The sequence below is a fragment of the Homo sapiens genome, chromosome 4 (genome assembly GCF_000001405.40).
Source record: "Homo sapiens chromosome 4, GRCh38.p14 Primary Assembly".
NCBI lineage: Eukaryota > Metazoa > Chordata > Mammalia > Primates > Hominidae > Homo > Homo sapiens.
In genome coordinates, this window is record NC_000004.12 from 67,066,122 (window position 1) to 67,081,866 (window position 15,745).

The window sequence follows — 15,745 nt, forward strand, 5'->3', positions numbered from 1 at the left end:
GGCCTTCTTTGTCTCTTTTGATCTTTGTTGGTTTAAAGTCTGTTTTATCAGAGACTAGGATTGCAACCCCTGCCTTTTTTTGTTTTCCATATGCTTGGTAGATCTTCCTCCACCCTTTTATTTTGAACCTATGTGTGTCTCTGCACGTGAGATGGGTTTCCTGAATACTGCACACTGATGGGTCTTGACTGTTTATCCAATTTGCCAGTCTGTGTCTTTTAATTGGAGCATTTAGTCCATTTACATTTAAAGTTAATATTGTTATGTGTGAATTTGATCCTGTCATTATGATGTTAGCTGGTGATTTTGCTCGTTAGTTGATGCAGTTTCTTCCTAGTCTCGATGGTCTTTACATTTTGGCATGATTTTGCAGCGGCTGGTACCGGTTGTGCCTTTCCATGTTTAGCGCTTCCTTCAGGAGCTCTTTTAGGGCAGGCCTGGTGGTGACAAAATCTCTCAGCATTTGCTTGTCTGTAAAGGATTTTATTTCTCCTTCACTTATGAAGCTTCGTTTGGCTGGATATGAAATTCTGGGTTGAAAATTCTTTTCTTTAAGAATGTTGAATATTGGCCCCCACTCTCTTCTGGCTTGTAGGGTTTCTGCCAAGAGATCTGCTGTTAGTCTGATAGGCTTCCCTTTGTGGGTAACCCGACCTTTCTCTCTGGATGCCCTTAACATTTTTTCCTTCATTTCAACTTTGGTGAATCTGACAATTATGTGTCTTGGAGTTGCTCTTCTCGAGGAGTATCTTTGTGGTGTTCTCTGTATTTCCTGAATCTGAATGTTGGCCTGCCTTGCTAGATTGGGGAAGTTCTCCTGGATAATATCCTACAGAGTGTTTTCCAACTTGGTTCCATTCTCCCCGTCACTTTTAGGTACACCAATCAGACGCAGATTTGGTCTTTTCACCTAGTCCCATATTTCTTGGAGGCTTTGTTCATTTCTTTTTATTCTTTTTTCTCTAAACTTCCCTTCTCACTTCATTTCATTCATTTCATCTTCCATCACTGATACCCTTTCTTCCAGTTGATCACATCAGCTCCTGAGGCTTCTGCATTCTTCACATAGTTCTCGAGCCTTGGCTTTCAGCTCCATCAGCTCCTTTAAGCACTTCTCTGTATTGGTTATTCTAGTTATACATTCGTCTAAATTTTTTTCAAAGTTTTCAACTTCTTTGCCTTTGGTTTGAATTTCCTCCTGTAGCTCGGAGTGGTTTGACTGTCTGAAGCCTTCTTCTCTCAACTCGTCAAAGTCATTCTCCGTCCAGCTTTGTTCCGCTGCTGGTGAGGAACTGCATTCCTTTGGAGGAGGAGAGGCGCTCTGCTTTTTAGAGTTTCCAGTTTTTCTGCTCTGTTTTTTCCCCATCTTTGTGGTTTTATCTACTTTTGGTCTTTGATGATGGTGATGTATAAATGGGTTTTTGGTGTAGATGTCCGTTCTGTTTGTTAGTTTTCCTTCTAACAGACAGGACCCTCAGCTGCAGGTCTATTGGAGTTTGCTAGAGGTCCACTCCAGACCCTATTTGCCTGGGTATCAGCAGCGGTGTCTGCAGAACCACGGATTTTCATGATCCGCAAATGCTGCTGTCTGATCCTTCCTCTGGAAGTTTTGTCTCAGAGGAGTACCTGGCTGTGTGAGGTGTCAGTCTGCCCCTACTGGGGGGTGCCTCCCAGTTAGGCTGCTCGGGGGTCAGAGGTCAGGGACCCACTTGAGGAGGCAGTCTGCCCCTTCTCAGATCTCCAGCTGCGTGCTTGGAGAACCACTGCTCTCCTCAAAGCTGTCAGACAGGGACATTTAAGTCTGCAGAGGTTACTGCTGTCTTTTTGTTTCTTTGCGCCCTGCCCCTAGAGGTGGAGCCTACAGAGGCAGGCAGGCCTCCTTGAGCTGTGGTGGGCTTCACCCAGTTCGAGTTTCCCGGCTGCTTTGTTTACCTAAGTGAGCCTGGGCAATGGCGGATGCCCCTCCCCTAGCCTCACTGCCACCTTGCAGTTTGATCTCAGACTGCTGTGCTAGCAATCAGCAAGACTCCGTGGGCGTATGACCCTCTCAGCCAGGTGCAGGATATAATCTCCTGGTGCGCCGTTTTTTAAGCCCATCGGAAAAGTGCAGTATTCGGGTGGGAGTGGCCTGATTTTCCAGGTGCCGTCTGTCACCCCTTTCCTTGACCAGGAAAGGGAACTCCCTGATCCCCTGCACTTCCCGAGTGAGGCAATGCCTCGCCCTGCTTCGGCTGTCGCACAGTGCGCTGCACCCACTGTCCTGCGCCCACTTTCTGGCACTCCCTAGTGAGATGAACCCGGTACCTCAGATGGAAATGCAGAAATCACCCATCTTCTGCGTCGCTCACGCTGGGAGCTGTAGACCAGAGCTGTTCCTATTTGGCCATCTTGGCTCCTCCCCCCAATTAGAAGGAAATTCTAACATATGCCACAACATTAGCTGAAGCTTGAAGATACTACACTATATGAAACATGTCAGTCACAAAAACAAAAATACTCTGTCATTTCCCTTGCATGAGGTACTTAGAGTGGTCAAAGTCACAAGGACAGAAAGGAGAATAGAGGTTGCCAGGGATTGGGGATAGGAGAGAAGCGAAAAGTATTGTTTAATGGGTATAGAGTTGTAGTTTTACAAATGAAGAGTTCTGGAGATGGATGACCATAATGGTTGCACAATATTATAAATGTATTTAATATTACTCAACTGTGTACTTAAAATTAATTAAGAGGGTAAAATTTATGTAATGTGAATTTTACCACAATTTTAAAAATTGGGAAAAAAAGTACAGAGTGGTACCCAATCTATGTTTACTGGATTTTCATGTACACTGCTCTTAATAGTTCTCAGAAATGGACTTAGATGCAAAAATTAAAGTTAAAACAATTTACAGTATGTCAAAAATAAGATGGTATTTTCATGAAAATAAATTTTGTCATACAAATTGACATTATTATACATAGTCTTAAGAATTATGCTAATCATTAGTTGCTATCTCTGTAACTTAATTAAATGTGCAGTACGATTTCTATGAAAATGCTATTTTTCTTCATGATTTAATGAGACCTACCATCAAGCCATATCCAAATCATTCAAACCATTAAGAAAGCCCAACTGTTAGAAATAATCAACACATTTTTAAAGATATTTGGAGGTTAATGGGAGATTAAAGGGAACCCATTGTTATTCCATCTGGATCCAAGCATTGCAAAAATTAACATACAAGCTAAATAAAAATGATTTCCCTTTTTTATTATCCGGGAAAGAAAATCAAAGAAGAGCTGGAACATCACATCAAACAAAGTGTTCTCAAACCAATTTTACATGCCTGGTGTGCTTGATTGGTTTTGACAGCGTGTTAAGAAGGGACGACGCGTGGAGGGGTTCAAACACTTGGCATCAGATTTGGCTCTTCTGTATACCTTGTCTATTTCCATTTACCAATCATATTTCAAGAACTTTAAATTCCCCGTTTGAAAGTCTATTCATCCTTTTCAATATCACTTCCACTGATCTAAATCAAGCTCTCATCACCTCTCTCAGAGAGCGGCCTCCTTGTCAAACTCCTCAGTTTTCCGTACTTAGAACTAAGTGATTGCATACATATGGCTGTGATTGCACTACAGATCTCACAGGGAGACCTTCAGAATCTTCAGTGAAAGTTCTGTTGACAGCAGAGTTCCAAGTTGGTCAAAGTTCACAAGTGTCATGCAGAATCATAAATTTACTTTAAGTTGGCTGGAGATGGAATACCCCATAGAGAAACTCCTAAATTAAAATAAATTTTACAAGTCATGAACAACAGTCATTTGATCATATATTTTCCATGGAAAAAAGTAACATTATGTCAGAAGGTAAGTATCATTGTTTCTTGATATATAGACAAATACATACGTATATACATACATGTATACATATTTGTGACATCTTATCCCCAGAACTATTTTTCCTCAGTATTCCCAAGAAGTATCACCACATACCTGATTGATTAATAAGGAATCTGAGTGTCATTATCTCATTTAGATGCTATTGGCTGCAACTAATAGACATCCTGACTAAAACTGGTTTAGACTATAGCGATTCTTCTCACATAACACCTCTCTTTAGCACTAGCTCCTCTTCTCTGTGCTTTTCTAGGAATTGTCTTTCTTTGCCTATTGGCTTTATCTCCTAAGACGAAGGTGGTGGCAGCAAGTTCAGGCATCATATTCAGACGTTACAATATCCAAAGGAGAAAAAAGAACTAAATTTTCTCAAATCTCCTACTTAGGAACAAGAAAACTTTCCAGAACACCCCTAAAATGGGTTGCATTGTATCTCCAAAGAAGATATATTTGAGTCCTAACCTCTGATACCTGTGAATGTGACCTTCTTTGAACATTGGGTATTTGAAGACACAATTTCTTAGGACAAGGTTATTTTCCATTAGAGTGAACCCTCAATCTAATGATGGGCATTGTTATAAGAAAACCATGTGAATACACAGAAAGACAGAGGAGACACACAGGGGAGATCAGTGAAGACAGAGGCAGAGATTGGGGATTGTAGTTGCAAGCCAAGGAATAAGGATTGCCTCCAACTACCAGAAGCTTGGAGGGAGGCAAGAAACAGATACTTCCTCAGAGTCTCCAGAAGGAACCAAACCTACAGACACCTTGATTGCAGACTTCTGGCCTCCAGAACTATGAGCAAATAAATTTCTATTGTTTTAAGCAACCCAGTTTGTCATGATTTATTACAGCAGCAACTAATACAACTTCCAGGCCTTCCCTGCACATCCTTTTGGCCAAGATCGGGTTACATGACTCTTCCTAAACAGATCACTGCCAACGAGAATGGATTATGACCATTGGCTTGGACTAGTCATTAGTGGTGGAATGGATGGTGGGCACTCAGCCACAAGGACTTGTGAAAGAAACACCAGGCTGGACACGGTGGCTCACGCCTGTAATCCCAGCACTTTGGGAGGCCAAGGTGAGTCAATCACCTGAGGTCAGGAGTTCGAGACCAGCCTGACCAACATGAAGAAACTCCACCTCTACTAAAAAAAATACAAAATTAGCTGAGCCTTGTGGCACATGCCCATAATCCCAGCTACTTGGGAGGCTGAGGCAGGAGAATGGCTTGAACCCAGGGGGCAGAGGTTGCAGTGAGCTAAGATCACACCACTGCACTCCAACCTGGGCAACAAGAGCGAAATCTCCCCTCAAAAAAAAAAAAAAAAAGTGAAAAAGACACTTAAGAGCTACTTAGTCCCTCTGCCATGTGAGGACACAGCAAGAACTTGGTAGTCGGCAACCCAGAAGAGGGTCCTTGGCAGAACTTGGCCGTGTTGGCACTCTAATGTAGACTTTCAGCCTCCAGAACTGTGAGAAATGAATTTCTATTGTTTCTGCTTTCAAATATCAAATGCATGCCTAAAATCCATGATGAACAAAATATAAACATTATAATTAAAGACAAGCTCCTTACTGTCTATAACTAAAGACAGTATACTGATTTTTCCTTTTGCCTCAGGCTACGATAGCTCTCTGCACTGGTGACTGGCATTGTGCTAAGCCCTCTTCACACTTCAACTAAATTAATTTTTAAAGCAGTTCTGTTACAAAAAGATAATCATTATCCTCCTTTTATAAATGAAATGTCCTTAGGCTTAAAGAGGTTAAGCAACTATGCTTAGTCCCATGGCTAAGGGTGGTGCGGAGATTAACACTCTAGTCAGCCTGCCTCCGCGGTCACTGCTCTTAATCACTGCTAAATTGTCTCCTGGTAGGTTAATACATGTGACTGGAAATTTTGCCATATACTTTCTATTTTAAATATATGTTTAGACACGTTATAAATTACTTGACCCCAAAACACTTCTTGTGGTGAGTGGAGAAATAACATGAGAGAAAAACATTTATAAAAATAAAAACATTAAAACATTTGTTTACTCAAGTTAAAATGTTTCAAAAACTAGCAAATTTAGTCATTTGCTAACTTTCAAATTTCAACTCCCCTTTCCTTCATTCCTACGGCAGCATATTTTTAAAAATCTTCCTTAAAGTAATACTCACTTAGTCAATAAAGACATGTTTGTAATAGAAAAATATATCCATTCCAGTTAACATATGAATCAAATCATATCCATATGGTAATTTGCCCTTGAGGGCTAAAAAAGTGTCAAATAGGCTTTTTCCCTATACTGGATGGGTGATCATCCTTCTGTTAGAATCAGTCAAATGGTTTAATGAAAAGAGATAATACAAATGAGATTTTGCTACATTAAAGAAAAAAATCCTAGTTTTTACAGGTTTTTTTTTCCATCTCAGTCCTTAGGCATAGTGATTGTCAGGTGTGTTTTTTTATTTCTTCGTGTTTGCTGTTTTTTAATGTTGCAAAATAAGTAGAAGAATAACAATAATTTGACTAATGGCATACACTCTCCAAAGTGTTTGAAAAATGACTTTTTTTCATGATTGCCTCATTGTTTTCAAAGATCATTAAACAATAGAGAGAGGTCAAGTGTTCTCATTTACATTTTGTACTTGAGGAAATAAAAACACGAACAGGCTCAGTGACTTAGACCAGATAACATGGATATCAACATGATATTTGGATATTATGGCCAGATTTCCATATTGTGGTCTAATACTGTAATTGAAGAAGAAGAAAGTGTTTATGATTCAGAGAAAATAGCATAGGTGGCAATCTGGGGGTGAAAGGTGGTGAAGTAAACCTGGTAACTTAGAGAAATGTAAACTCTCTGAACAAAACTATTTACATGGTGATTTTATATACAATGGGCTAATAATATGTATTTTTTCTATTATGCCTTGAGATATGCAACATTATTATGCTCATTTACATAGGAATTGACTGAAAATCAATGTCAGACAATTAGTAAATGATGGAACTAGAATTCATTTCCATGTCCTTGACTCCAAGATTCTTTTCCTGGTATTATACCATAAAACTGAAGAAAGAATTACAGTTGACACTTGAACAAATCAGAGGTTAGGGGCACCAACCCTCCCATGCAGTCGAAAAGCCATATATAATTTTTGACTCACCAAAAACTTTACTAATAGTCTACTGTTGACCAGAAGCCTTACTGGTATATAAACAGGTGACTAACACATATTTTGCATATGTATTACATACTGTATTCTTAACAATAAAGTAAACTAGAGATAAGAAAATGTTATTAAGAAAATTATAATGAAGAGAAAATATATTGACTATTCATTATGCATAAGTGGGTTTCATAAAAGTCTTCATCTTCATCATCTTCATGTTGAATAGGCTAAGGAGGAGGAAGAAGAGAAGGGGCTGGTCTTGCTTGTCTGTCTTAGGGATGGCAGAGGTAGAAGATCTGCATGTAAAGTGGACCCTTATAGTTCAAACTCATGTCATTCAATGGTCAACTGTACTGGCAATGTTTCTTAGTAATCAATAAAATCTCTAGATTCTGCAAATTTATTTGTCTAAATTCACTTTATAGTTGTTTAGACATCAATACAAAAAAAGAATAAAAATTTTAAAATTTAATGGAAATACATCTATTAAAATTGAGCTTTAAATATTCAGGGAATTTTTCTATATAAGTTAAGTGAAATATAAATGACTAAGCAAATGAGTTTAGTCAATTTTTGTTACTTTTTTGACACTAGAATGCTTACTAGATGATAAAGTACCCCAGGAGACATTATTCTGATGAAAACAGACACCGAACACTAAAAGCTCTTACCATGATTTAGTTAAAAGCTCTCTAGGAAACAGAAGTCAAAGCACGGACTAAGTACCAGAGCTCAATTTGCGTGTGCAATTCCAGGGCAGTGAGAGTGAGGGAGAATGGATTTAGGCATCAAGAATGGCAAGCAATTCAAGGTGATGTGTTACTACACTAGCCACTGTTTTAAGAGGAGTCATGAAGAGATACCCCTAGTCATTCAGCAGGTGCATCTGTACAGCCATGCAGAATATCTCTGGAGAGCTGCTATAAGGAAAAAAAAAGTGGGCCACAGAATAGCCCAGTGGAAGAAGAAAGAATGTAGTATTCTTCACAGGTCTTGACAATCTCCTGTATTCTGCTGTTCAAAGTTGTCCCTCTAGAACATAGCTCCCCACGGTTCTGGGTTGCATACTATCTTTGGCAACCTCTTGAGAAGCATAATCCTATGTCCCACACTATGGCTAGTAGGTCCAAAGCAGTTTAACCATGCAAGTATGCATGGAGTAAGTCATCCATGACAGTGGCAGAAAGGGAACAAGAGGCTGAGGGTCCTGGGGACAGGTGAGTCCAAAAGAATATGAGGAAACACTTGTGTCTGATAACGTCGGTGATTCCACTATTCGATTGTTGCATGGACTTATATAAGCCAGCAGATTAAATTCCCTTAATTCATCATTTCTGATAATTGTTAGCAACAATTTCCCTAAACTCAATTTGGAAATTTCTAAACTATATTTCATTCCAATATCTTTGCCAACCCCCACATGCAACTGGTTGAAAATTCCCACTGATTCTTTTACTATAACTACTCATAGTCAGTAATTCCTTTCCATTAATATTTTAATCATCCTGGCTCAATCTGTCAAGAGTCTCTACTGTAAAACTCTTCTTACTGTTCACCCTATTATTTCTCTTTACCTTCAAACTAGTCTATATGCCATGGCTTCTTAAACAAGCTCTATTTAAGGAAAAAAACAGAAGGTTGTATAAATATTTCCAAAGGTCTACAAATTCCCTGCCATATTTTTAAGTTATGTTCCTTTAGAAGATAATCTCTGGATTATCTAAAAGAGCCCCAGGATTGAGTACTGCTACCCAACTTCTGACCTCCAATCAAAGTTGGCTCCAGAATTACTAGGATTCTCTCTGGCTAAGAAGCATTCCTTCTAAGACAAACACATTGTATAAACAAAAATTTGTCAATAGCTTAAATAAAAGAAATATGATGAGAGAATGGAGTGATCACTCTGCATAGCAGAATATGGGCAGACTGAGTAAAAGAAAATTTGCCCTGTAGTAGTCAGTACCATGTTCACTTTGAGAACAGCCAGGTAATCTAGCACATAAAATTTAATATTGCTATTATGAATTATCTTAGTTTTCCTGTCTCATTAGTGTTTAATTTCATATTTATTTTCATTTTATAATTATTATAAGATTTATCATAAGAATTTTTACTGAATTTACAGTTTTACATTTTTATATAGTATTAACAATAATTTGCATCCATGCTAGAAATCCAAGAGAATTACGGCAGTTTCTTTAAAAGTATGCTGTACATTGTTTGAGCTTGGAGATGTTCTGAAATATATCATTGCTGGGTTAATTTTCCTAAAGCATATCTCTAATTATGCCATAGTCTGATACAAAATCTTTAGAAGTTTCTTACTGTATATAAAATTAAAATTCATGAATCTGGCCATTCCTACATGTATGTTCTCCTTCAATGTACTTGTTTTGTTTTCCAGACTACCTCAGCAAATGGACGCATACAAACAACATGTTCACTTATCATTTTGCTGTAGTCCAAATGTTTGTGTACCCCCAAAATTCATATGTTGAAATTTAACCTCCAAGGTGATGGCATTAGTAGCTGAGGCTTTTGGAGGTAATTAGGTTATGAGGGTGGATCCTTCATGAATAGGATTTGTGCCTTTGTAAAAGAGATCTCAGAGAACTAGTAGTTCCTTCTACTACATATGAACACAGCAAAAAAGGTACCATCTAGGAGCCAGAAAGTAAGCCCTCACCCAATATAGAATCTGCCTTGATTTTAGACTTCCCAGACTCCAGAAATAAATTTTTATTATTTATAAGCCACTCTTTTTGTGATATTGTTACAGCAGCCCAAACTAAGACTTCTGTTTTTATCTGAATTTCTTTTTGCCACAATCTCCTCATGACCAGTCTTATCCATGGATTAAAACCCATGACATCTTCCTGATCCTTCAAGTACTTGGGACCTGACTCTTCATTAGAATCCTGTGAAGTTTTGGGCATATCATTCTTATGGCACTCAGCATATCTGCTTTGTATTATGGATACTTGTATAAATTCCTTAGCAAAGTCATCTTATCTTCATCTAAGAATCCGCTAATTGGCCGAGTTTGGTATTTTGTGTAGCTTATCTGTTCAATAAATACTCGTTAAGCTAATGTAAGACACAAAACACAATTAGCTGCTCACACATTTGAAAATATCTATATACTGGGAAAGTAATGACCATGAAATTATTGATGGCTAAATATGAGACAAATAAAGGAATCTCCAAAGGAGTGAATTTATGTGTAATTTGTTGAAAACCTAGCAAGTAATGACAATCTAAATGAAGCACTTTTAGAAGGTAATGGCAAGCATTGGAATCTAAGATTTTGTATTGGTATTGACTAAGATCACTAATGAAAACAAAAAAAGTAGCAAATAAGGGCCAAAATAGTTCTTCGTAGGATACCAATTAACTGCTAATCTGTTTGCTCTAATAGGCCACTATTAGAGGAAATGATAAAATTAGCTATGCACATAAGAAACATTTATTGCCTACATATTACTTTTGCCCTGAGACCAATGCAATTCAGCAAACTTGTACAATAAAATCAGCCCCAAAAGAGTTTAACAAACACAAGTTTTTACCTCTACTTGCTTGAATAAGGGTTTTATTTAAAAAAACTAAAATCCTAAATAGTCAAAGAAGTGAGAAAAATCTGTTTCTTTAAATGAGTTTTGAATACTCCTTTTTTAAACTTCTGAATTGCTTTCTGCATCTAGAATGCTATCTAAATCCCTGCTGATTTATCCTTATACTTTCAGCAGGATTTCATTGCTCCTGGGCACCAGACAGTCTTGTTAATAATGGCAAATCCTTTCAGTCCCTCTTTGGTGCAAGGTGGGCTTTGATTGACAAGGTAATAAAAGTGTTAATGAGACAGAGTGGCACAGTCAGAGATCAATAGTTGCCAATAACAAAAACAATACTGATACTCAGTTTGTAAAATTCCCTTAAACCAGATAAAAATATTTTGCATCAAAATAGAGACTTTTCATTTTATAATTGATGACTTTCTTTTTTGTCTGCAGCAAAGCTGTCATAGGCATTGTACAAAACTATAACCATGCCTAGGATGGATACTGTCCACAAAATCATGATGGAATTTCCTAGTTTGCTGTTTGCTTACCTGGTGGTCTTTAGACAAGGTGTTGTTACAAAAGACTGCAGTCAGAACTGGAATGGATTTTTCAGCCCCTTCATTGAGCAGCTAGGTTTCCCACAGCAAGTTTATAAACTTGTCTGAGACTCATATTTAAATCTGTTGAAGGACTTTACCGACACCTCCCTTGCAAAGTACTCATGAAGGATAAATGATATGAAATCGGTAACGAAGTAAACAGTGTCTGGGGCAGAGGAGACATTTCAGAAACAGAAGCTATTATCTTTAAATATGTATGGCAATTTCTTCTCAGTTACGCCTGGGTTACAGCTTAAAGAAAACTTTGTTTTTGGTTTTTTTTCTTTTCTTCATCTTGGGCATCCATGATATATTGAATTAGAAAAAACACTGGTGAATTCAGGAGGTATAAATGGATATCTACAATTGCTTTTGAATGCTTTGTTTTTATTTGATCTGATTCTGTTTTGATTTGTTTCTCTCTCCCTTTGTATCAATTAGCATTTGTTGCATAACAAACCATATCCAAAATTACTGACTCAAATAATAAACATATATTATTTCTCACAATGTTATGGGTTAGCTGGGTGTACTTCTGGTCTAGGCCAGGCTAGCTAGAACAAGATAATGTAGGATGATCTCTTTCATGTCTAGTGGTTGGTTTATCAGTGGAGGCCACAGAGATGAACTGGCTTCATGCATCTCATTATCTAGCAAGCTATATTGCTAGTGTGTATTCATGCCATAGTCACAGGGGTCCCAAGAACAGCAAGAGAGGCAAAGACCAATAAGCATGCACTTTTCAAGTCTGTTTTTGTCATGTCTGCTATTATCTTATTGATCAAAGCAAGTCATGTTGTCAAGCCCAGAGTAAGAGCATGCATATAGGGAGGTAAATTATTGAGACCATTTCTGCAACAAGCTACCACACCCTCACACTCTGTTTATTCAGATTTCCTCAAGAAATACATACATTTTCCTATAGAACAATTAATTTTTTTCAGATACAACTTAGTCAGAGTTAAATATAAAAAGCACTTTTAATATGCTTTTATGTTTTGTATTCCCATTCAGTGTCTGATTAGCTTTTAATTAGACAGAGTGCTGAGAAGTACATTTGAAACAAATAGACCATTTATACTACATATGTATGATGGTTTTGTTAGAAGCTCTTTGACCTGTAGAAAAATGTTAGTTTTATCTCTCCAGATTAGAAAGCTTGGCTTTTCCTTTGCTTTGATTCTTTTTTACTTAAAGAAATTACTCTTGGGTTAATAATACCTTTTAATTTTAGAAGGGAACCAATGTATCTCAGAACCTGAGTTGTTCCTATTTCTTTGCTAGGTACCTTGGTTTTATTTGTCAGTTTTATGCTATATAATATGACTCCAAACCAGAATCTCTTCCACCTAAAAAATGGTGACAAGGACAAGGAAATTATATTACTTTGCATGGATTGCCCTAACAAAATACCCTAGGCTGGGTGGCTTAAACAACAGAAATTTATTATCTCACAATTCTGGAGCTGAGGAAGTCCAAGATCAAGCTGCCGGTCAATTCCATTCTTGGGAGGGCCTCTTTCTGGCTTGTAGATGGCAGATTTCTCACTGTGTCTTCACATGGTGGGGAGGAAGAAAGAGAGAGAGAGACAGAGAGAGGGAGAGAGCTCTCTGGTGTCTCCTCCCATACAAACACTAATTATTTCATATCAGGGCCCCATCACTATGATCTCATTTAATCTTAGTTACCTCCTTACAGGCCCTATCTTCAAGTACAGTCACATTGAGTGTTAGCACTACAACATATGAATTTATGGGGAGAGACACAATCAGTCCATAGCAGGAATACTGAAAAAGTGAAAGCTAAAAGCTTAAATCTTTACACACTTCGGCAATTTAATTGAGATAGACTTGATCTATATAGTATGTGGTGATTATGCAAACTTCTATGTCTCTCTGTACAGCATTGACTAATCACAATACAGATGAATGAAGCAAACAAACCTAAAATTGGTCAAGAAATAGTCTCCTAAGAATATGTAACCGAAGCTAAAATTTGGCAGGTGTGGCCTAATGCAGTACCTACGAAGTCTGTTGAAAATAATTTGAAGAATCATGAAGAATGTAAACTGTTTCTTCTTCCTTTTAATTAACAAAAATAAATAACTTCATAATGCTGTTTCCTATAAGACTTTTTGAAATATATTCTTGATGTGTCTCTGGTTTCAGCATGAATAGGTTTGGAAAAAACTTAGATAATGTGACTGGAATGTAAATGTAAATTTCCATTCCTAAAATACATTTTTCCCAGAGTAGTAATTGTTTGAAAGTCTTAAAAGCATAAATTTTATTTTATAAGTGCTTTATGACTTTTTTGAAGGGACATAGAATAGATAAACTTAAAAATATTTAAAGCATTTTATAAATGCCTTTACACATTCATGGCAAAATGCTTAGTAAAATTTCAGGTACAAAATTCTCTAGGGTATTACATTGTTGAGTGTCCTTAAGAACTATAAAATTTCCTATCCCCATTATTTCTCCTGTTTAATTTCCTGTCACCACAGATGAGTCTGGGCTTTGTTTGTTTTGCCAACTACAGAGTTGAAAACTGACTTGCGGGATATTGCTAAATTATAAAAGGAGGCATTTTTTTCTTCTCGTTAATGTTCTTTGTGAAAAGAACATAGAAAAACTTAGTATTAATACTGCCCAGTATTATGCCAAAACTACAAACTAAAAGTCATTCACTTCTGTATTGAACATGTCATAATGAAACAAATTTTAGTTTAAGTTACTTGGAAATCTATATTTGACAATATATTCTTACAGTTTGTTTGTTTTTTTTTTTTTTCAACAAATCCAGGGGATTAAGATGGGTATCTAGGAAGGTGTGTTAGTCAGCTTTGGGCTGACATAAAATATCACAGACTGGGTGGCTTAAACAACAGAATTTTATGTTCTCACATTCCTGCAGCCTGGAAATTCAAGACCCGGGTGTCAGCTGATTCAGTTCTTGGTGAGAGTTTGCTTGCTGGATTGAAGACAACTGATTTCTCTGTCACCTCGCTTGATAGGAAAGGAGAGAGAGAGAGAGAGAGAGTCTGGTGTCTCTTAATATAAGGTCATTAATCCTAACATGAAGAGCTTCAATGCTATGATCTCATTTAAACTTTATCACCTCCTCATGGGCCCCATCTCCAAATGCAGTCACAATGGGGGTTAAGGTTGAATCATACCAATTTGAGGGGTAGGGGTTGATACAATGCAATCCATAGCATGAGGCAACTGCTGCATCCACAAGTCAGGCTGCAAGACTAATCTTTCCTGTTGAAATTTCCTCTTAGGCCCCACAAACTAATGGGTCTTGTATCATCAATTAGGTCATAGTTTTCCAAACTGTCAGTTATCATATGCCTGTTGATTTTGATGCTGTCTATTGTAGATCCTGCTTCAAGGATCATCCCTGAGAAGAGAAATGAGAGAATTCTCTGCTAGTGTGGAAACATCAAGGGACCTGCAGTTCAACCATCTCATCCAGTGGAAAGGGAGGAGGCTCATCTCCCTCTGCCTTTTTCCCATTTCTTCCTACTACCCTCATCTCCAAAGCATTTTCCAGAATACGAAGAGAAAATACAGAAATCAAATTTTATATTTGCTTTTTACTTATTGGTTATTTTACTTAATAAAATGTTGCCAGATGTTGTGCTGTAAATTAGGGGTAGAAATAGCACTCATTTATTCCTTCAGTGAATATTTATCAAGTGCCTACTATGTGCCAGGCACTATTCCAGAATCTGTGAATAAGATAGAAAAAGATTCCTTTCCTCCTTGAGTTTATATTCTAAGGGAGAAAAACAAACAATAAACAATCAGTTTTAAAAGTTAAATGATATGGCAGGTTAGAAGTTGATAAGTGCCAATAATTACCAGAGCAAAGAAAGAAAGTAGAAAGTGAAGAGAAGTGAGCAAGTTGCAGGAATAAGTAAGGTGGTCTAGGTGGGCCTCACTGAGAATGTAAAATTTGAGTAGGGAACCAAAGATGAGAGAGTTAGCTAAGTAGATACCTGGGTTTAGGATATTCCAAGCAGAGGGAAAAACTAGAACAAACGTTTAGGCTGGCATGTGTCTGATGAGCTCCAGAAACAGCAAAGAGGTTAATGTGGTTGAGCAGAGTGAGCAAGAAATTCAAAGTTGAAGAATTAAATTACGTAAGGCCTTGTAAGACAAAGGGTTGCCATTAACTCCTCGTGGCTTCAGGAGGCATCTCAGGGTTCCAAAAAAATGCTCTGATATATTTTCAAAGTATTATTTTTTACAGTTAAGTTCTATAAGACAAATATAATTGTATTTTGCTTTTTAATTCAATTTGATCCTCTGTCTTTAAGTAAATGGTTTACTCTATTCATCTTGATTAGAAATTTGGACTCATTTCTACCATCTTTGTATTACTTATTTGTCCTCCCCCTCTTTCCTAGTGTGCTTATTTTTTCTCTTTTTTTCTTCTTTTGAATTGACGTGGTCTCCCCAATCCCCATTTGATGTTTTCCCTCTACTCATTTTTAAGTACCTCGTCTAACTTTTTTCA

At 37.4% G+C, this 15,745-nt stretch overlaps 1 long non-coding RNA gene across 2 annotated transcripts in view; it reads right to left on the reverse strand.

Moving 5' to 3' along the window:
• Positions 1-11,511, reverse strand: part of LOC105377262 (uncharacterized) — a 214,769-nt gene extending 203,258 nt beyond the window's left edge. For both annotated transcript variants that reach the window (XR_938848.2, XR_938847.2), the window contains exon 1: positions 11,168-11,511. This is a non-coding gene — a long non-coding RNA (uncharacterized LOC105377262). The remainder of the gene's footprint in view (positions 1-11,167) is intronic.
• Positions 11,512-15,745: the final 4,234 nt, after the last annotated feature.